This window comes from Homo sapiens, chromosome 7, assembly GCF_000001405.40.
Source record: "Homo sapiens chromosome 7, GRCh38.p14 Primary Assembly".
In the NCBI taxonomy this organism is placed as follows: domain Eukaryota; kingdom Metazoa; phylum Chordata; class Mammalia; order Primates; family Hominidae; genus Homo; species Homo sapiens.
The window spans coordinates 84,397,172-84,418,961 of NC_000007.14; the positions used below are offsets into that span (position 1 = coordinate 84,397,172).

The following is a 21,790-nucleotide window of genomic DNA, read 5'->3' on the forward strand; positions in this document are numbered from 1 at the left end:
GATATCAAATAATAATCTACTTTATCATGTCTATGACTTTAATTGTCTGGTTCTGATTAAAATTGTGATCTCTAGAGAAAAGTATGTGAAAAGTAGCTGTCAACTGCTCAATAAACATTTACTAAAAATTTATTTTACTTAAAATTATCTTTTGGTGGATAATTGTGAACATTTAATGTTTCTCAAATCTATGCATTGCCAAAACAAAGCAAAACAAAAACCAAAATATATATGTAATAAGCATTATATATATAAAATATATAATATATATTTTACATATATAACGTATACATAATATGTATTATATATAACATGTATACAATACATGTTATATATATTACATATATTACATATAACATATATACACATAGTGTGCATAGTATAATTTTTTTAACTTTTAAGCTCAGAAGTACAAGTGCAGGTTTGTTAACCTAGGTAAACTTGTATTGTGGGAGTTTTTACAATTCCTAGCATTTCTGTGAAAATACGTTGTGAATTTTGCCAACGTAATCTCCACGAATTTCTTCCCTTTTTACAGATACATAGGGACAGGTAACTTTGAACACTTAATGTGGCACCATGAAGAGGAGTCAGACAAAACCTTCTAGGTAAGTAGTTTTGAAAAGTTTAGTCTACCTATATGGACTTTAGTTTCCTTATATGTTTTGACATATTAGAATGATATGCCATTTCTGGGAGAGTGACAAATAGGCCATGGGGTTTTATGATAATTAAATAAGATAAATCATGCAAAGTGTATAAAAATGGGCATGACACATAGTAAACCAAAATATTACTTCCTCTTTGCACCTGTATGCCATGCATTGTGCTAGATGATTTATTTCTTATTTGATTTGCTTTTTCTAATGACCAGAGAAGTCTGATTTTAAAGAGTGAAGATAAGCAAATTAACCAAACAACCAAAACACATTTTGATTGACATGCCTTTTTCAATGCAATTTCCTCAACTTTCAAATATAAATATTCTAACTGCTTCCTCATTCTCCTATCCAACAGGTCTTTTAAGACACCAGAACTAATTTTCATTCCACCTCTCATTATTGAAACTAATAGTAGCTACAATTTATTGTGTGTATGCAATTTCTCAGAACCTATATGAGGAGCTTTATACCATTTAATTTAACATAAATGTCTGGTGCTTTTTCTTAGTTTTTGTCCTGATTAATATTATTGTAGCACGTGACATTCATGACAATTTGTGTCTTAGAATAGTGTTTTTCCTGATTCAGAGGTATTGCACACTTCAAACACATCACCCTCCTTTCGCAGTTCCTGACTGAAGCCGTTAAAAATCAAACTTAAGGTCTAGTAATCCTAGTATTTGGGAAGCTGAGGCAGAAGGACTGCTTGAGACCAGGAATTTGACACTAGTCTGGGCAGTATAGCAAGACTCTGTCTCTACAATTTTTTTTCTTTTTTTTGCAGCATAGCAAAACTCTGTCTCTATATAATTTTTTTTGTTTTAATTAGCCAAACCTGGTGGCATGTGCCTGTAGTCTTAGCTACTCAGGAGGCTGAGGAAGGAGGATCACTAGAGCCCAGGAGTTTAAGGCTGCAAAGAGGTATGATTGTGCCACTGAACTCCAGCCTGGGCAACAGAGTGAGACTGTTTCTTAAAAAAATAAAATAAAATAACTAAATTAAAATTAAAATCACAGTTATATTGAGGCTACAGAACAAGATGGCCTAGTAGAACCCTCCAGCAATTGTACCCCCCTTGCAGAAACATCAACTTGAACAACAGTGCATGCAAAAAGAAAGCACCTTTGTAAGAAATAAAACATCATTTGAGAGAACAGAGTACCTGGTCTTAGCATAATGACAAGAAAATATGCATTGAATAGGATTGGAAGAACAGTCTTGAACAGCCTATACCACACCTCCTCCAACCCCAAGGAGCACAGTCTGAAAAGAGAATCTGTGTGCTTGGGGAGGAAAAGCACGGTGAGTGTGGGATTATGCATTGGAACTCAGTGCCACCCTGTCACTATGCAACACAACACAGGAAAAAATTCTGCCAGTGCCCACAGAGGGAGCATTTAGAATAGCCCTGGACCTGAGGGGAATCCATTGTCCTGGCAGAAGGAATGTGAGTCCCAACCTTCTTTACCACTGGCTGACTAAAGTGACCTTGAGCCTTGAATAAATTTCAGTGACAACTAGACCATCCTGACTGCAGTCCTTGAATGAGCCCTGGTGCCACACTGCTCTCAGAGGCTGTGGGCTCAGGGTACAACCCAGCATGACACTAGCTGCAGTGGCCATGGGAGAGCCTATGCCACCCCTCCCCCAATGCCAGACAGTGCACTGTAGACAGAGACTCCTTCAATTTGGATGAAAGAGTGAAGAATACAGAGGACTTTGTCCTCCAACTGAATATCAGCCCAACCACGTTAAAATAAAGCACCAGGGAGAATCCCAAAGCCCCTAGTTCCAGGTCATTATTACTAGGTCATTGCTTCTAGACCCATTGTGAGCCAGAAAGAAATCTACTTCCCTGGTAGGATGGACCAAGTTTAGCAGGACTCACCACTAGGTGCTGGTTAAAATGGCCTCTGGCCTTGAATAAACATTGGTGGCAGTCACACAATAGCAGCCATGGGCCTTTGGCAAGCTACAGTAATGTGCTGGTCTGGGAGACTCTGGGCTTCACGTACAAGCTGGTGTAATGACAGCTGCAGCAGCCATGGAATTGCTAACATCACCCCTCCCCCAACTCCAGGCATCTTAGCATAGAGAGAGGCTCTTTCTACTAGAATAAAGAGAAGGAAGAGAGCAAGGGACTTTCCCTGGGAACCTAGGGAAATCTCCCTCATCTTCCTTATGCCCATCAGGGCTGGGCATTTAGGAGTCTGCAAGAGTTGCAGCATATTGGGCTTAGTGTGCCATGTAGTGTGAAAATGGCTGCAGTGACCACAGGCTAACGGAACTCAAAACTCAGTCCCCTCTGAATTCTTGGAAGGCCTCTGAAGAGGGACAGTTACAAACAAGACCAGACTGTGAAGACTAGAATAAATAGTCTTCAATGCCCAGACATCAATGAATGTCCACAAGCATCAAGGACGTCCAGGAAGATATGATCATACCAAATGGAATAAATAAGGCACCAGTGACTAACCCTGAAGGACAGAGACATGTGATCCCTTACCCAGAGAATATAAAATAGCTGTTTTGAGGAAGCTCAATGAATTTCAAGAAAACAGATGGAAGGAATCCATAAATTTATGAGATAAATTTAACAAAGAAATTAAAATAATTTTAAAAATCAAACAAATTTTGGAGCCACAAAATAATGAACAAAACTGAAAAATGCATTAGAGTGTCTCAACAGCAGAACTGATCAAACGGAGGAAAGAATCAGTGAGCTCAAAGTCAGGATACTTGAAAGTTACATAGAGGAGAAAAAAGATGAAAGAGTGAAGAATGTTTCCAAGATCTAGAAAATAGCCTCAAAGGGGCAAATCTAAGATTTATCGGCCTTAAAGAAGAAGTAAAGGTAGAAATAGGGGTAGAAAGTTTATTCAAAGAAATGACAACTGAGATCTTTCCAAACCTAGATGAAGACATATTCTTTGAAGTCATGTGATCATTTTAATAAATGCCACAAAAGCATTCAATAACATTCAACATCCTTTCATGACCAAAGCTCTCAACAAACTGGGTTTAGAAGAAATACCTCAAATCAATATAGGTCATATGTGAAAAACCCATGGCTAGCATCACACTGAATTGGGAAAAACTGAAAGCTTTTCCTGTAAGAACTGGAACAAGAAAAGGTTTCCTACTTTCACCACTTTTATTAAATATAGTACTAGAAGTCCTAGCAAGAGCAATTGGACAAGAGAAAGAAATAAAGGGCATTAGAAATTAGGAAGGAAGAAGTCAAATTGTCCTTGCAGATGACATTATCTTATACTTATAGAAACCTAAGATTTCTGCAAAAAGACTGTTATGGCTGATAAATTCAGTAAGATTGCGTGTTACAAAATCAAAATACAAAAACCAGCAGCATTTCTATATGCCAATAGTGAACAATTTGAAAAAGAAATCAAGAAAACAATTCCATTTAAAATAGCTACAAAAAATACCTGGGAATAAATTTAACCAAAAAGTGAGAGATCTCTACAGTGAAAATGATAAAATGCTAACGAAAGAAATTGAAGATGACACAAACAATGGAAAAATATTCCATTTTCATGGATTGAAAGAATTGTGTTAAAATGTTGATGATACCGAATGCAGTCTATAGATTCAATGAAATCTCTACCAAAATACCAATGATCTTGTTCACAGAAATAGAAAAAAAAAAAAAAACACTAAAATTTGCATGGAACTACAGAAGATCCTGACATAGCCACAGCAATTCTTGGCAAAGAGAATAAAGCTGGGGGCATCACTTCACCTGACTTCAGAATATACTGCAAAGCTATAGTAATGAAAACAGCATGGTACCAGCATAAAAGCAGACACATAGACCAATGGAACAGAATGGGGGACCAAGAAATAACTACACACATTTAAAGCCAAATGATTTTTCAGAAATGCACCAAGAACATATGTTGGATAATGGAGAGTGTCTGTAATCAATGGTGCTAATAATACTGGATATCCATATGCAGACAAATGAAACTAGACCCCTTTATCTGTCATCATATAAAAAATCAACTCTGGGTTAAAGACAAACCAAAGACCTGAAACTATGAAACTATTAGAAGAAAACAGAGAAATGCTTCAGGATGCTGTTCTGGGCAAAGATTGTTTGAGCACCTCACAATCACATACAATCAAAGCAAAAATTGACAAATGGGATTACATCAAACTAAAAGCTTCTACACAGCAAAGGAAACAATGAAGAAAGTGAAGAGACAACTTCTTGGGAGAAAACATTTGTAAACTATCCACCCAACAAAGAGTTAATTGCTAGAAAATATAAGGAAGTCAAACCATTGGGTAGCAAACAAACAAAACAAAACAAAACAAAATCTAATTTAAAAATAAAAAAGGCCTGGATAGACATTTCTTAAAATCGACACCACGGCTGGGTATATGGAAAAATGCTCAACATCATTCATACCTAATTATCAGGAAAATGCAAATCAAATATCATCTCATCCTAGTTAGAATGCTATTAACAAAAATACAAAACATAACAACTGCTGGCAACAGTGTGGAGAAAGTGGGGAACACTTGTACACTGTTGGTGAGAATATAAATTAGTACAGCCATTATGGAAAATAATATGGACATTCCTCAAAAAACTATAATTAGAACTACCATATAATTCATGAATCCCCCAGCTGGGTATGTATCCCAAAGAAAGGAAATCAGTATATCAAAGAGATATCTTCACTCCCATGTTTATTGCAGCACTATTTATAACCAAGATACGGAATCGACCTAAGTGTCCATCAATGGATGTATGAAGATAATGTGGTGTATGTACATGATGGAATATTTTCAGCCATAAAAAGAATATTATTATTAATGGATGAATAAATAAAGATAATGTGGTGTATATACATGATGGAATATTATCCAGCCACAAAAAGAATAATATTCTATTACTTTCAGTAACATACAACAAAGTAGAGGGCATTATGTTAAGTGAAATAGACAAGGTATAGAAAGACAAATATCACACGTTCTCATTCATGTCTGGGGGCTAAAACAATTGACTTTATGGAGATAGTGACTAGAATGTTGGTGAGGCCAGGAAGGGTAGTGGGGTAGAGAGTTGAAGACAGGTTGGTTTACAAAAATACAGTTAGGAGTGTGAGCAACGCAGAAGACAGATGATTTCTGCATTTCCAACTGAGGTAATGGGTTCATCTCACTGGGGAGTGCCGGAGAGTGGGTGCAGGACAGTGGGTGCAGTGCATGGTGCATGAGCCAAAGCAGGATGAGGCATCGCCTCACCCGGGAAGCATGAGGGATCAGGGAATTCCCTTTCCTAGTCAAAGAAAGGGGTGACAGATGGCACCTGGAAAATCAGGTCACTCCCACCCTAATACTGCGCTTTTCCAACGGGCTTAACAAACGGCACACCAGGAGATTATATCCCACACATGGCTCAGAGGGTCCTACACCCACGAAGCCTCGCTCATTGCTAGCACAGCAGTCTGAGATCAAACTGCAAGGTGGCAGCGAGGCTGGGGGAGGGGCACCTGCCATTGCCCAGGCTTGAGTAGGTAAACAAAGCGGCTGGGAAGCTTGAACTGGGTGGAGCCCACCACAGCTCAAGGAGGCCTGCTGCCTCTGTAGGCTCCACCTCTGGGGGCAGGGCACAGACGAACAAAAGATAGCAATAACCTCTGCAGACTTAAATGTCCCTGTCTGACAGCTTTGAAGAGAGTAGTGGTTCTCCCAGCACGCAGCTTGAGATCTGAGAACGGGCAGACTGCCTCCTCAAGTGGGTCCCTGACCCCCGAGCAGCCTAACTGGGAGGCACCCCCAGTAGGGGCGGACTGACACCTCACACAGCCGGGTACTCCTCTGAGACAAAACTTCCAGAGGAACGATCAGGCAGCAACATTTGCGGTTCACCAATATCTGCTGTTCTGCAGCCACCACTGCTGATACCCAGGCAAACAGGGTCTGGAGTGGACCTCCAGTAAACTCCAATAGACCTGCAGCTGAGGGTCCTGACTGTTAGAAGGAAAACTAACAAACAGAAAGGACATCCACACCAAAAACCCATCTGTAGGTCACCATCATCAAAGACCAAAGGTAGATAAAACCACAAAGATGGGGAAAAAACAAAGCAGAAAAACCGGAAACTCTAAAAATCAGAGCGCCTCTCCTCCTCCAACGGAACACAGCTCCTCACCAGCAACAGAACAAAGCTGGACGGAGAACGACTTTGAAGAGTTGAGAGAAGAAGGCTTCAGAAGATCAAACTACTCCAAGCTAAAGGAGGAAGTTCCAAATAATGGCAAAGAAGTTAAAAACTTTGAAAAAAAATTAGACGAATGGATAACTGGAATAAACAGTGCAGAGAAGTCCTTCAAGGACCTGATGGAGCTGAAAACCACAGGACGAGAACTACGTAATGAATGCACAAGCCTCAGTAACCAATGCAATCAACTGGAAGAAAGGGTATCAGCGATGGAAGACAAAATGAATGAAATGAAGCGTGAAGAGAAGTTTAGAAAAAAAAGAATAAAAAGAAACGAACAAAGCCTCCAAGAAATATGGGACTATGTGAAAAGACCAAATCTACGTCTAATTGGTGTACCTGAAAGTGACGGGGAGAATGGAACCCAGTTGGAAAACACTCTGCAGGATATTATCCAGGAGAACTTCCCCAATCTAGCAAGGCAGGCCAAAATTCAAATTCAGGAAACACAGAGAATGCCACAGAGATACTCCTCGAGAAGAGCAACTCCAAGACACATAATTGTCAGATTCACCAAAGTTGAAATGAAGGAAAAAATGTTAAGGGCAGCCAGAGAGAAAGGTCGGGTTACCCAAAAAGGGAAGCCCATCAGACTAACAGCTGATCTCTTGGCAGAAACTCTACAAGCCAGAAGAGAGTGGGGGCCAATATTCAACATTCTTAAAGGAAAGAATTTTCAACCCAGAATTTCATATCCAGCCAAACTAAGCTTCATAAGTGAAGGAGAAATAAAATACTTTACAGACAAGCAAATGCTGAGAGATTTTGTCACCACCAGGCCTGCCCTAAAAGAGCTCCTGAAGGAAGCACTAAACATGGAAAGGAACAACTGGTACCAGCCACTGCAAAAACATGCCAAATTGTAAAGACCATCAAGGCTAGGAAGAAACTGTATCAACTAACGAGCAAAATAACCAGCTAAAAACATAATGACAGGATCAAATTCACACATAACAATACTAACCTTAAATGTAAATGGGCTAAATGCTCCAATTAAAAGGCACATAGTGGCAAATTGGATAAAGGGTCAAGACCCATCAGTGTGCTGTACTCAGGAAACCCATCTCAGGTGCAGAGACACACATAGGCTCAAAAAAAAGGGATGGAGGAAGATCTACCAAGGAAATGGAAAACAAAAAAAGGCAGGGTTTACAATCCTAGTCTCTGATAAAACAGACTTTAAACCAACAAAGATCAAAAGAGACAAAGAAGGCCATTACATAATGGTCAAGGGATCAATTCAACAAGAAGAACTAACTATCCTAAATATATATGCACCCAATACATTAACACCCAGATTCATAAAGCAAGTCCTTAGTGACCTACAAAGAGACTTAGACTCCCACACAACAATAATGGGAGACTTTAACACCTCACTGTCAACATTAGACAGATCAACGAGACAGAAAGTTAACAAGGATATCCAGGAATTGAACTCAGCTCTGCACCAAGTAGACGTAATAGACATCTACAGAACTCTCCACCCCAAATCAACAGAATATGCATTCTTTGCAGCACCACACCACACCTATTCCAAAAATGACCACATAGTTGGAAGTAAAGCACTCCTCAGCAAATGTAAAAGAACAGAAATTATAGCAAACTGTCTCTCAGACCACAGTGCAATCAAACTAGAACTCAGGATTAAGAAACTCACTCAAAACCACTCAACTACATGGAAACTGAACAACAACATGCTCCTGAATGACTACTGGGTACATAACAAAATGAAGGCAGAAATAAAGATGTTCTTTGAAACCAATGAGAACAAAGACACAACATACCAGAATCTCTGGGACACATTCAAAGCAGTATGTAGAGGGAAATTTATAGCACTAAATGGCCACAAGAGAAAGCAGGAAAGATCTAAAATTCACACCCTAACAACACAATTAAAAGAACTAGAGAAGCAAAAGGAAACACATTCAAAAGCTAGCAGAAGGCGAGAAATAACTAAGATCAGAGCAAAACTGAAGGAAATAGAGACACAAAAAAACCTTCAAAAAATCAATGAATCCAGGAGCTGGTTTTTTGAAAAGATCAACAAAATTGATAGACCACTAGCAAGACTAATAAAGAAGAAAAGAGAGAAGTATCAAATAGATGCAATAAAAAATGACAAAGGGGATATCACCACCGATCCCACAGAAATACAAACTACCATCAGAGAATACTATAAACACCTCTAGGCAAATAAACTAGAAAATCTAGAAGAAATGGATAAATTCCTTGACACATACACCCTCCCAAGACTAAACCAGGAAGAAGCTGAATCTCTGAATAGACCAATAACAGGCTCTGAAATTGAGGCAATAATTAATAGTTTACCAACCAAAAAAAGTCCAGGACAAGATGGATTCACAGCCGAATTCTACCAGAGGTACAAAGAGGAGCTGGTAGCATTCCTTCTGAAACTATTCCAATCAACAGAAAAAGAGGGAATCCTCCCTAACTCATTTTATGAGGCCAACATCATCCTGATACCAAAGCCTGGCAGAGACACAACAAAAAAAAAGAGAATTTTAGACCAATATCCTTGATGAACATTGATGCAAAAATCCTCAATAAAATACTGGCAAACTGAATCCAGCAGCACATCAAAAAGCTTATCCACCATGATCAAGTGGGCTTCATCCCTGGGATGCAAGGCTGGTTCAACATATGAAAATCAATAAACATAATCCAGCATATAAACAGAACCAAAGACAAAAACCACATGATTATCTCAATAGATGCAGAAAAGGCCTTTGACAAAATTCAACAATACTTCGTGATAAAAACTCTCAATAAATAGGTATTGATGGGACGTATCTCAAAATAATAAGAGTTATCTATGACAAAACCACAGCCAATATCATACTGAATGGACAAAAACTGGAAGCATTCCCTTGGAAAACTGGCACAAGACAGGGATGCCCTCTCTCACCACTCCCATTCAACATAGTGTTGGAAGTTCTGGCCAGGGCAATCAGGCAGGAGAAGGAAATAAAGGGTATTCAATTAGGAAAAGAGGAATTCAAATTGTCCCTGTTTGCAGATGACATGATTGTATATCTGGAAAACCCCATCATCTCAGCCCAAAATCTCCTTAAGCTGATAAGCAACTTCAGCAAAGTCTCAGGATACAAAATCAATGTGCAAAAATCACAAGCATTTTTATACACCAATAACAGAGAGCCAAATCATGAGTGAACTCCCATTCACAATTGCTTCAAAGAGAATACAATGCCTAGGAATACAACTTACAAGGGATATGAAGGACCTCTTCAAGGAGAACTACAAACCACTGCTCAATGAAATAAAAGAGGATACAAACAAATGGAAGAACATTCCATGCTCATGGGTAGGAAGAATCAATATCGTGAAAATGGTCATACTGCCCAAGGTAATTTATAGATTCAATGCCATCCACATCAAGTTACCAATGACTTTCTTCACAGAATTGGAAAAAACTACTTTAAAGTTCATATGGAACCAAAAAAGAGCCCACATTGCCAAGTCAATCCTAAGCCAAAAGAACAAAGCTGGAGGCATCACCGTACCTGACTTCAAACTATACTACAAGGCTACAGTAACCAAAACAGCATGGTACTGGTACCAAAACAGAGATGTAGACCAATGGAACAGAATAGAGCCCTCAGAAATAATGCCACATATCTACAACTATCTGATCTTTGACAAACCTGACAAAAACGAGCAATGGGGAAGGGATTCCCTATTTAATAAATGATGCTGGGAAAACTGGTTAGCCATATGTAGAAAGCTGAAACTGGATCCTTTCCTTACACCTTATACAAAAATTAATTCGAGATGGATTAAAGACTTACATGTTAGACCTAAAACCATAAAAACCCTAGAAGAAAACCTAGGCATTACCATTCAGGACATAAGCATGGGCAAGGACTTCATGTCTAAAGCACAAAAGCAATGGCAACAAAAGCCAAAATTGACAAATGGGATCTAATTAAACTAAAGAGCTTCTGCACAGCAAAGAAAACCACCATCAGAGTGAATAGGCAACCTACAGAATGGGAGAAAATTTTGCAACCTACTCATCTGACAAAGGGCTAATATCCAGAATCTACAATGAACTCAAACAAATTTACAAGAAAAAAACAAACAACCCCATCAACAAGTGGGTGAAGGATATGAACAGACGCTTCTCAAAAGAAGACATTTATGCAGCCAAAAACCACATGAAAAAATGCTCACCATCACTGGCCATCAGAGAAATGCAAATCAAAACCACAATGAGATATCATCTCACACCAGTTAGAATGGCAATCATTAAAAAGTCAGGAAACAACAGGTGCTGGAGAGGATGTGGAGAAATAGGAACACTTTTACACTGTTGGTGGGACTGTAAACTAGTTCAACCATTGTGGAAGTCAGTGTGGCGATTCCTCAGGGATCTAGAACTAGAAATACCATCTGACCCAGCCATCCCATTACTGGCTATATACCCAAAGGATTATAAATCATGCTGCTATAAAGACACATGCACACATATGTTTATTGTGGCACTATTCACAATAGCAAAGACTTAGAACCAACCCAAATGTCCAACAATGATAGAGTGGATTAAGAAAATGTGGCACATATACACCATGGAATACTATGCAGCCATAAAAAAATGATGAGTTCATGTCCTTTGTAGGGACATGGATGAAGCTGGAAACCATCATTCTCAGCAAACTATCGCAAGGACAAAAAACCAAACACCACATGTTCTCACTCATAGGTGGGAATTGAACAATGAGAATACATGGACAGAGGAAGGGGAACATCACACACCGGGGACTGTTGTGGGGTTGGGGGAGCGGGGAGGGATCGCATTAGGAGATATACCTAATGCTAAATGACAAGTTATTGGGTGCAGCACACCAACATGGCACATGTATACATATGTAACAAAACTGCACGTTGTGCACATGTACCCTAAAACTTAAAGTATAATAATAATAAAAATATATATATATGTATATATATATTCAAATGTAAAAAAAAATACAGTTAGAAGGATAGGTTCTATTGTTTGACAGCACAATAGGACACTATCATTAAAAATAATTTATTGCACATTTCAAAATATCTAGAAGTATTGGAATGTTCCCAACAAAAACAAATGATACATCTTTGAGGTGATGGATATTTTAATTACCTTAATTTGATTATTATACCTTGGATGCTTGTATCAAAATACCACATGTACCCCATAAATATATACAACTATTATGAATCAATTTTTTAAAATAAAAAAATTATAGTTATATAATTATCTAGTGTTCTATTTTGCTTCTGTATTCCTCTAAAATCTGTCATACTGCCACATTATACATACAAATCCCAATTGCATCTTTCACATTAGCCCTTTTTGTGTTACTTCCTTGGCATTTTACAACTGCCCTAATGTTTTTAGATCAAGACATGAGGGGGAAAGAAATTTTACATTATTACATTTAACTTAGTATTTACTTGTGATTCATAGCTGAAGTTTACTTACTTCTCTGAAACGTATTTAACCATCCATAGATACAAAATAGCTATTGTGTAAATTCTTCTTGTATTAAAAGAAAAAAAACTAATTTGTGTTTGATTTAGTAGTTCCCAAATGAGAATAATCAAGCAAATGTGTTTTCTCAATCACTGACTTTCTTGGACCAAATAAGTTAGATAAGAAAAACTAAGCTATGGCATATGATTTCTGGAAACAGTTATTGTTGAAACAAATTAATTTAGAAAGAAGTTATAAAACTTATGTACAAATTTTATTTATTAGATATTTATGCATTGCTTTCCACGTTTCTCCTATTGTGAGGTATAAAGTACAGAAATATGAATTTTACTGAAATAAATGTAAATTTTACTTAATCTTTTCTTAATAGCTTTCATTTTTGTTATTTGGAAAAATGATTCATAAGGATCACGTAGGGAGTAGCATTGGTTATAGTATAACTGATTTTAAAGAAAATTTTTCCATGGAGAAAGACAAAATTGAGTTGAAAATACAAGACTGTTAATTGTTTTGTTCCTGTATAAGAATCAACAAAAGTAAACTCATTGTTTCATCTTATGTTATGTAACTGTCTGCTCTTAAAGAAAAACACAAATTCACACAATCCTTTATACTTTCTATACAATAATTTACATGTATTTTATATATTTACCTTTATATTTATAAACATACACAATATATTTTTCATTTGTTGAGAATTGAGTGCAGTTTTTCATCAGGGGGTCATTTTCTTCTATAATTTTCAAGATAAAAGACATTCTTTTAATGTCAGCCTCATGCCTACATGGCTATGTTTTCTACTATTAAGCAAGCAACCTGGATTTAATTCCCAACCCAGATTGCACACTCCCCAGACTACTTGGTTCAACACCTGTAAAGAAGAAAATTACTTATGTTACATGAAAGCACCTATTTTAGTTTTAAGGAGAGGTGCTAGTTTCCAATAAAGGAATAGAGTGTATTTTTCTTTGTTTTCTGTTGGAAATGTAGTAGTTGTGGCCTTTCAGCAGAATATGTCAAGCCACCCCACAAAGAGTTCCTTTCCCAGTGTATTTATTGCTGCGTGCACCACCACATGTTTTTCGCATAAAGAAAAGAAAAATGCAGGTATTAGAGATTCTAATTATATGTTTCTACAAGCTGAATTAACACGGAAATGTCAAATTGCTTGGGGGAGCATTTAACCCTGTACCTCTAGAGCATTCCAAAGTATTTGTGTTTCTGTACACTTAGACTCTTAAAAGCTATTTGACCGTTTTCCCAGGGTATCTGCACCTAAGAGACTAACTAGCTTTATACTGACACAGTGACAACTATTAGATAGAACTTACTTCAGGTTTTTCTTGTTGTCGTTGTCGGGGGATTGTAACTTTTTATTCCACTCCAAATCTGAAGGTTTAAGATAGAGGAATATAAACTTTCAGTAGGTCAGTGTATTAGCAGATGTTTATATTGTCTGTGTGTTTGTGTATCTGTGTGTGGGTATATGTTTATGAGACAGAGGGAGAGAAAATCCAGCTAACTGTATCTTAGAAACATCAATGGAGAGGTAGAGAGATAGCATTCTTCTCCCACCCTGTAATACTTGATTTCTGGACTAGGAAAAAAATTGGTAGCGGTCCACTTGGGATTTTTTATAATATTGCAAAATGGCTATGATTATTAATTTATGTTTTAACAAATAACCACATTAAGGGATAAAGTAGAAAGCACAGTCATTGGAGCATAAACTTGAACAGGAATAATAAGACATTTTATTGTCAGCAGGGATTTATCTCTCAGGGATGCTAGAATGCTGGGTTTCCTTTGCTTACCATGAATTATTGATTCTATGTCCTGTTACTTCCATTATGGTGTTTCCAAAATATCAGCCTAACCAGTCTTTTGTATTAAACCTATTTCAAAAATAATAGACTACTAATATAATTGCATCAGTTTCTTAAAATATTGACATTTGGGTATAATTATATATATATATATTCATATTCTAGTATTATAGAAAAATAACTGAAAAAATGCAGTGGCCTCAAATATATTAACTATCTACATTTCAAAATCTGTGTAAACATTTTATTGAAAAATTTTTAGGCTTTTCCTTACGTATGTTGAGAAATTTTTTGGCATTTTTTATTTTCTCCTGGCAACATGAAACAGCTGGGTTTAAACAACAGTTTAGATTCAGGTTTGTTTTCTTTCTTTTTTCTTTCAAGAAGAGGTCATGGACCACCTGTAAACTGTATCTTGATGGATTAAATAAAACTTGTAAAATTGAATCCTGGTAATAAAGTAGATTCTATAAAATAGACACCTTGTATCTCTCTCCATTATTCCATTCTTTTGTGGTTCTTCCTTGATTCAAATGTGCACTTATTTTAACATATGTAATTTCTACAAATTCTACAACACTTCTTGCTTTCTTTCCTAAGACACCTATAGTGACTTTTCTTATTGTGCTGGGCAAACTTTGAACTCCTAGATGCCATTTATGACAGCTCAAAATGAATGCCTTGATAAGGCTACAAAGCAAAGTGGTGGTTTGAAAAGCCTATTGATGAAAGGTTGGCAGGGAGGCTGTGCTAACCACATACAAGGATCATGCATGAGGCTACAGGAGGTCACAGGTTTTTAAGGAGCATGGATCAAGCAGGGTCAGATTGGTTACAGCCAATTGCACAGCACATTCTTCTCCATTCATCCCCAGCTGCATCTCTAATTATGACCTACACAATCAGCGATGAAGCATTAAAAAGTGGAACTGTATTGTTCCATGGTGAGTGCTTAGCAAAAAAGCTGGAATTTGATACTTAGTCACAGTTTGCAAACAATGTGGTTGAACCACCTGAGGGGTCACATTTTTACATTCTGAGGCAATTTATTAGTAATGGTACATGTCAGTCAAAAATCCCCCTAAAGCTCTTTCATTACTAGCCATGACTTTGATACAGAAATGGTTCAAAGTAATAGGCAAATAAAACAAGAGCTAGATCATTTACAAAGAAGGATCACCACATTCCCTTTATCCTTTCCTGATGAGCAATCTTTGTAGTTGAGCTCTAAGTGGTATAAAGATTATACTGGATGGGTTATTTTGAAAGCAAGCCTTTTTATTTGTCAATGAGGGATTGTTAAAGCTTCTAAACTATTTCCATGATTTCTTCCATTTTAACTGAAAATATAAACAGAAGCAAACACTATGGTTGAGTCACTGCAACGACACTTCTCCCAGCTATAGTTTTTTAGATAGGAATGACTCAAGTTTACAAAGCTGGTATAAATTTGGAAAGAGTCCTGCATAAAGATGTTTCACAACTTCCTTCCAAAACACACACACACATACACACACACTCACACACACACATTCATACACAAATTTCTTTTTCAAGACAAATTTAAGGAATTCAACAAAAATTACTTTTCTATTTTTGGAAGGAAATACCACCTTTCATCAACAAATGCAACATTTTAGTAGTTTTAATTTTTCTATACATGCTTCTGGAATGATTACTATTATACATTTCTTTCTTCATCTACTGACTTCTATGTAGGAACTTACCCTTCATAACTGATGCAGTTATGACATCACAGGATGTATTATATGTGTAGAATAATGGTTCTATTGCCATAGCCTCTCTAAGTGAAGGTTTTTTAACAATGAAAGTCACATTCTTAAAGATTTTATAGGGTCCATTTTAAATCAATAACCAAAAAGTTAAAATAAGAAGTAGAATATACTGTAGAAAGCAGGCCGAGTGTGGTGCCTCATACCTGTAATCTCAGCACTTTAGGAGGCTGAGTCAGGAGGATTGCTTGAGCCCAGAAGTTTGAGACCAGCCGAGGAAACATGGCAAAACCCTGTCTCTACAAAAAACACAAAAGTTAGCTAGGTGTGATGGCATGTGCCTGTAGTCCCAGCTACTCAGGGGGCTGAAGTGGGAAGACCACCTGATTCTGGGAAATCGAGGCTGTGGTGAGCTGTGATCATGCCATTGCACGCTAGCCTGGGTGACAGGGTGTCAGAGTGAGACCCTGTGTCCAAAACAAACAAACAAACAAAAAAACACAAAACTTAGTAGTAGTAGTAGAAGTAAAAATCAATCAATTGAAATTGCGTATGTAGAGAGAAAAAACTTGAAAGCAGTCTAGACTTTATTCTATTTCTTTGTTTTATACTAGTCATTTTTAAAAAAGAAACAATAAATAATGGGATGTGTAGGAAAAATATAACGTAGTGAAAATAACTAAGATTTACAAATCATTTTTACATGCCAGGACATATAATCTGCAATTTAGATGTAGTATCTCAATTAATCCTCAAAGCAGTCCTATGCATCATTTGCCTCTCTAAAGCCTTATGAAGTATGTATTATTATTCCAAATTTAGAAGACAGAAAAATTAGATTCAAGGTCACATATACTGCTTCACCGTAAATTTCTGATTACTCTATTAACTGATACTTTATTAATCTTATAATAATATTTGTGGCTTAACCCCGCACCAACTTGAGCAATTTGATTCCAGTTTAAAAAGTAAATTATATATTTGTTTTCTTGTTTTATATTAAAAATAGTTTTCTAATCAATGTTCACCATTTTTGTTTGAAATCTGGAAGCTATGCACCTGTGTATGAACATCTATGCATATATCTTTTGATCCCACTCTTAAACTCCCCTAACCATTTCCATTGCCCATAAACATTAACATTTTAGAGTGAAAAATTTGGTTGTGTAAACATTAATGTAATAATTAACTCAACAAAAGTAATCAGCACATGATAAATAATTGGCTAAAAGTAAAAAAAAAAAAAAAACAGTATTGTTATGTAGCCTCAAAGCAACACCCCACAAATGGCTTGATAAATACGTGCAATGAAATGAAACTTTACAATGGAAATTCTCACAGAAATCACCTTCACCAACAGGCTGAATTTGGCATCTTCTAAGAAGACACAAATGGTCATTATGTGATTCTAGTATAATAGGAAGTACACAACATCACGTGTAGTATTCTTGTCAAAGTTGTTTAACCTTAGTGTAATCATGAATAAACGTTCAAAAACACTCAGATGGTGGGACATTCTATCAGAAAATTTGGCTCTATTATTAAAAGAAAAAATGTCAATATCATGAAAAACAAAAAAAAGGCGAAATGAACAAAGTGTAATTTCACATTAAACTAAAAAGACAGGTAACCAATTAAAATGCAGAATCATTGTTTGAATCCTGGATCAAAATAATCAAATAAATAAACGAATCAGCAAAGAACCATTGAGACAATGGGGAAATTCAAATAAACACTATATGTTAGATAACATTATTGTTAAAGTTTGATTTACAGAAATTTAAAAACCATGAGGAACAAATAAAAAATAAATACATCTAAAATATTTATCTAGCTCACATCACTTAATAAGGGAACCAGTAAGATATTAACCAATCCAAAGATTATATGAAGAGTTAGGTTTCTATAAGGCAAATTAATAAAGGGATATTAAGATAGTATTGCTGGATTAGATATAAAACTAGAGCAATAAACTGTAGCTGTAGAGTTGTTGTTTCAAACAGATAGAAATGATTCGCATCTGTATAAACAGAAATCTACCAGGTGACCTCTGTTATTTCATAAATCTGTGTTAAAAAATCTGTTTCATAAATTTCATAAATCTGTTATAAAATACATCAGTCAATAGAAAATTTACCAAAATTGTAAGCCTAGAACTAATGGGTATACCAAAGGATATCTAGTAATCTCTTTCACTTATTAACAAGTATCAGAATTTGTTTTTTGCTTAATATTAATATATCAAAGTTAAAGTTCTTGTGTGAAGTAACAGAACTTCCACTTTTGTAGAACACTGTCCTAGCTTTTAAAAATTACATGCAGAAAAATTTTGAGATTGTATTTCACAATTATTTTCATATTGCTTTCAAATGGATCTGATAATGATACCACTTGGGGAAGGCAGAAAGTAAATTTGGCCAAACTACTTATACCTGATGAATCTAGATAATGGGTATGGAGGTGTTAATTTGCTAATCTTCCAACTCCTCTTCAGGTTTGGAATTTTTTAAATTAATCATTTGAGGACATCAATAATGAAATATGTAGCATGTTTTGGCATTTTTTCTTATATATATTTTAAGGTGATATCAATTTGCTTCTATATGTGTCCTGATTCTCCAGTCATAGAAAAACCATAGCCCTTAGGACATAGCTTTGCAGTGACAGCGTTTTTGTATTTTTTTTATAGCAATTTTCAAATATCATAATTGCTACTTGCAAGCTGTGTATCATTGGCAAACTTAATTACACTCTGTGTTATGTTAGGGATACGGCACCAAAATTATCAATCATATATTTAATACTCAATAAATTCTGTTAATAGTATTAAATTTTATTTCCTTAGTAGGTAGACCAGTAATCTCCATTTAGTTAAATAGACTCCAAAGATTCTTATAAAGTATAATGTGGGACTAATTTTAAAAGCCTCTAAAAGTACTGATATGGTTTGGCTATGTCCCCACCCAAATCTCAACTTGAATTGTATCTCCTAGAATTCCCATGTGTTGTCAGAGGAACACAGTGGGAGGTAATTGAATCATGGGAGCCAGTCTTTCCAGTGCTATTCTCGTGATAATGAATAAGTCTCATGAGATCTGATGGGTGTATCGAGGATTTCCACTTTTGCTTCTTCCTCATTTTCTCTTGCCACCACCATGTAAGAAGTGCCTTTCACCTTCCGCCATGATTCTGAGGCCTCCCCAGCCATGTGGAACTGTAAGTCCAATTAAACCTCTTTTTCTTCCTAGTCTCAGGTATGTGTTTATGAGCAGTGTGAAAATGGACTAATACAAGTATATACATGTAATGTCAACTTGCTTGTACTGCACTCACTTACCAAAACATACAATGTCTTTTGGTATTGGCTGGGCATTTACGAGCTCATTTTATTGGTGCTGATTATCCCTTGCTAATCAGCATCCATAAAATGCAGTTGTATTCACAAACATTTAGCTTAAAAACGCAAAGGTTTGAAGTTGAAAAAACTCTTTCAAACATGAATCTTGGGTTTCATATTGACTTAAGTGAATAAAGGTAGGAGCTATCTTAATTTTTAGTTGGAAACCAGATTGGAAAAGTTAAAGTTACAGAAACTTCAGATTTCAAAAAATTGTTGTTCTCAAGTGTTCTCACTTTTCTTTGAAATTGGACAGATATGATTTACAGTATTTGGAGAAAAACTTGGAGCAAAAGACAAACTTTCAGAAGAATAAAATGATCCAGACACTATTTTTTAATCCAGATGGAGTTGCAGCTATAATATAGCAGACTTCCAGAGAGAATTAAAAACTCAATTCTTTGCTTGTTCGTTAAGAATCCCATGGTACTTGAAATTTTAAAAACTTTTTTTAAACTTTAATTTATTTGATTAGTGTAACTGACCATAGTGTTTTTTAAATTTAGGTTCTGTACTAAACAGTTTGATTTGGCTGCATTTACAATAAATACTTAATTCCAGTTCAGAGCAATCTTGCTCCAACCATGAACAAAGGGTACATTACTATATTGTGATTTAATACTTAATTACAATAGTACAAAATTATTTCAGATATTCTGTGCATAATACAAGACTCACTACAAAATGTAAATGTAAAGTAAATATAGAAAGCTACAGTGTTGTTTGGTCCAGAACTGTTAACTTGATAAAAACCTTCCTTTAGCATTTAAATCAATATATAGTATTAAATTAATTTGATTGATGAATAGTATAGTGTAAAATGTCTATTTACATGATAGAAGGCAGAGACATTCACTTTAAAGATTCTGAAAAAATAAACTGATAAACATGTATAAATGTAAATATATTTCTTCACCAAAAATTTATGACGCGTTTGTTTCCATATAACATCAATGACAAACTTATTCTCACAAAAAATTTCTGTTTAAAGTTTTAAATTTTTTAGTGACTTTACCTAATACTATGGAAAACGTATTTATTGCTTGAATTATGCAAATTATAATAACAAATTACTAATTTTAAAAATGACTTTTTCTTATTTATTTTATTATATATTGCTGTTAATACTCAGTTATTCCTTAACATCACCTTAGACATGAAGGATATAGTAACCTAATCCAAATTAGTTCATAAGCAAAATGCTGAAGTAGTTATTTTTTTCATGGGGGTTGGATGAGTGGATAGAGGACTCTTCATAAATTTAAATTGCAGGTGTAATGGTTCAGAATTATGACTGAAAGCTGAATGTATGTATTTAACATTATATAGATAGCAATTACTAAGTACCAAACGCTAGTCTAATTATTAAGCTAATATTAAATACTTATTTCTCATACCAACCCTTCGAGGAAGAATGACAGTTTTTAGGGATTTTCACATATAATTGATGTGATTGTTAATATTAGGCGTCGCCTTGACTGGATTGAGGGATGCCTAGGTGGCTGGTAAAGTTTTGTTTCTGAGTGTGTCTGTGAGGGTGTTGCCAGAGAAGAATGACATTTAAGTCAGTGGACTGGGAGAGGAAGACCCACTGTTCTAAACTGTTCTCATGCTGGTAATAAAGACATACCCAAGACTGGGCAATTTATAAAGGAAAGAGGTTTAATTGACACACAGTTCCACCTGACTGGAAGGCTTCACAATGATGACAGATGAATGAGGAGCAAAGTCACATCTGACATGCTGGCAGACAAAAAGAGAGCATGTGCAGGGGAACTCCACTTTATAAAACCACAGATCTCATGAGACTTATTCACTACTATGAGAACAGAAAGGGAAAGACCCACTCCCATGATTCCATTACCTCCCACCAGGTCCCACCCACAACATGTGGGAATTATGGGAGCTACAATTCAAGATGAGATTTGAGTGGGGACACATCCTAACCATATCACCCACCCTCAATGTGGGTGGGCACCCTCCAATTTGCTGCCAGTTTGACTAAAACAAAGGAGGCTGAAGAAGAGGGATAAGCAGGTTGCTGAGTCCTCTATTTTTCTGTCTTCCCATGGCTTCCTCTCCTCCTGCCCTTGGACATCATACTCTGGGTTCTTAAGCTTTAGTACTCTGGCACTTGTACCAGTAGCCTCCGGGGGGCTCTTGAGCCTCTAGCCTCAGACTGAGGGCTGCACTGTCAACTTCCCTGGTTTTCAGGCTTTGGGACTTGGACTGAGCCATGCTGCTGGTTTCTCTCTTTCCCAATTTGAAGATGGACTATCCTGGGACATAGCCTTGTAACTGTGAGTCAATTCTCTCTAATAAAATCTCATATATATATACACACATATATACACATAAATACACATATATATATACATATATCTACACATATATATATACACA

The 21,790-nt window shown here is 36.2% G+C and overlaps 1 protein-coding gene across 2 annotated transcripts in view, besides 1 other annotated feature; it reads right to left on the minus strand.

Moving 5' to 3' along the window:
* SEMA3A (semaphorin 3A) overlaps positions 1 to 21,790 on the minus strand; it is a 536,949-nt gene that overhangs the window by 441,395 nt on the left and 73,764 nt on the right. The window lies entirely within an intron of this gene.
* Positions 13,450 to 13,619: an enhancer, noted in NCBI's record as "experimental_100327 CRE fragment used in MPRA reporter constructs". NCBI's record gives its function as "activates a minimal promoter by MPRAs in K562 erythroleukemia cells, with activity observed for the non-introgressed 7:84040022 variant allele {active_cell/tissue: K562}" and the evidence as "EXISTENCE:reporter gene assay evidence [ECO:0000049][PMID:34662402]".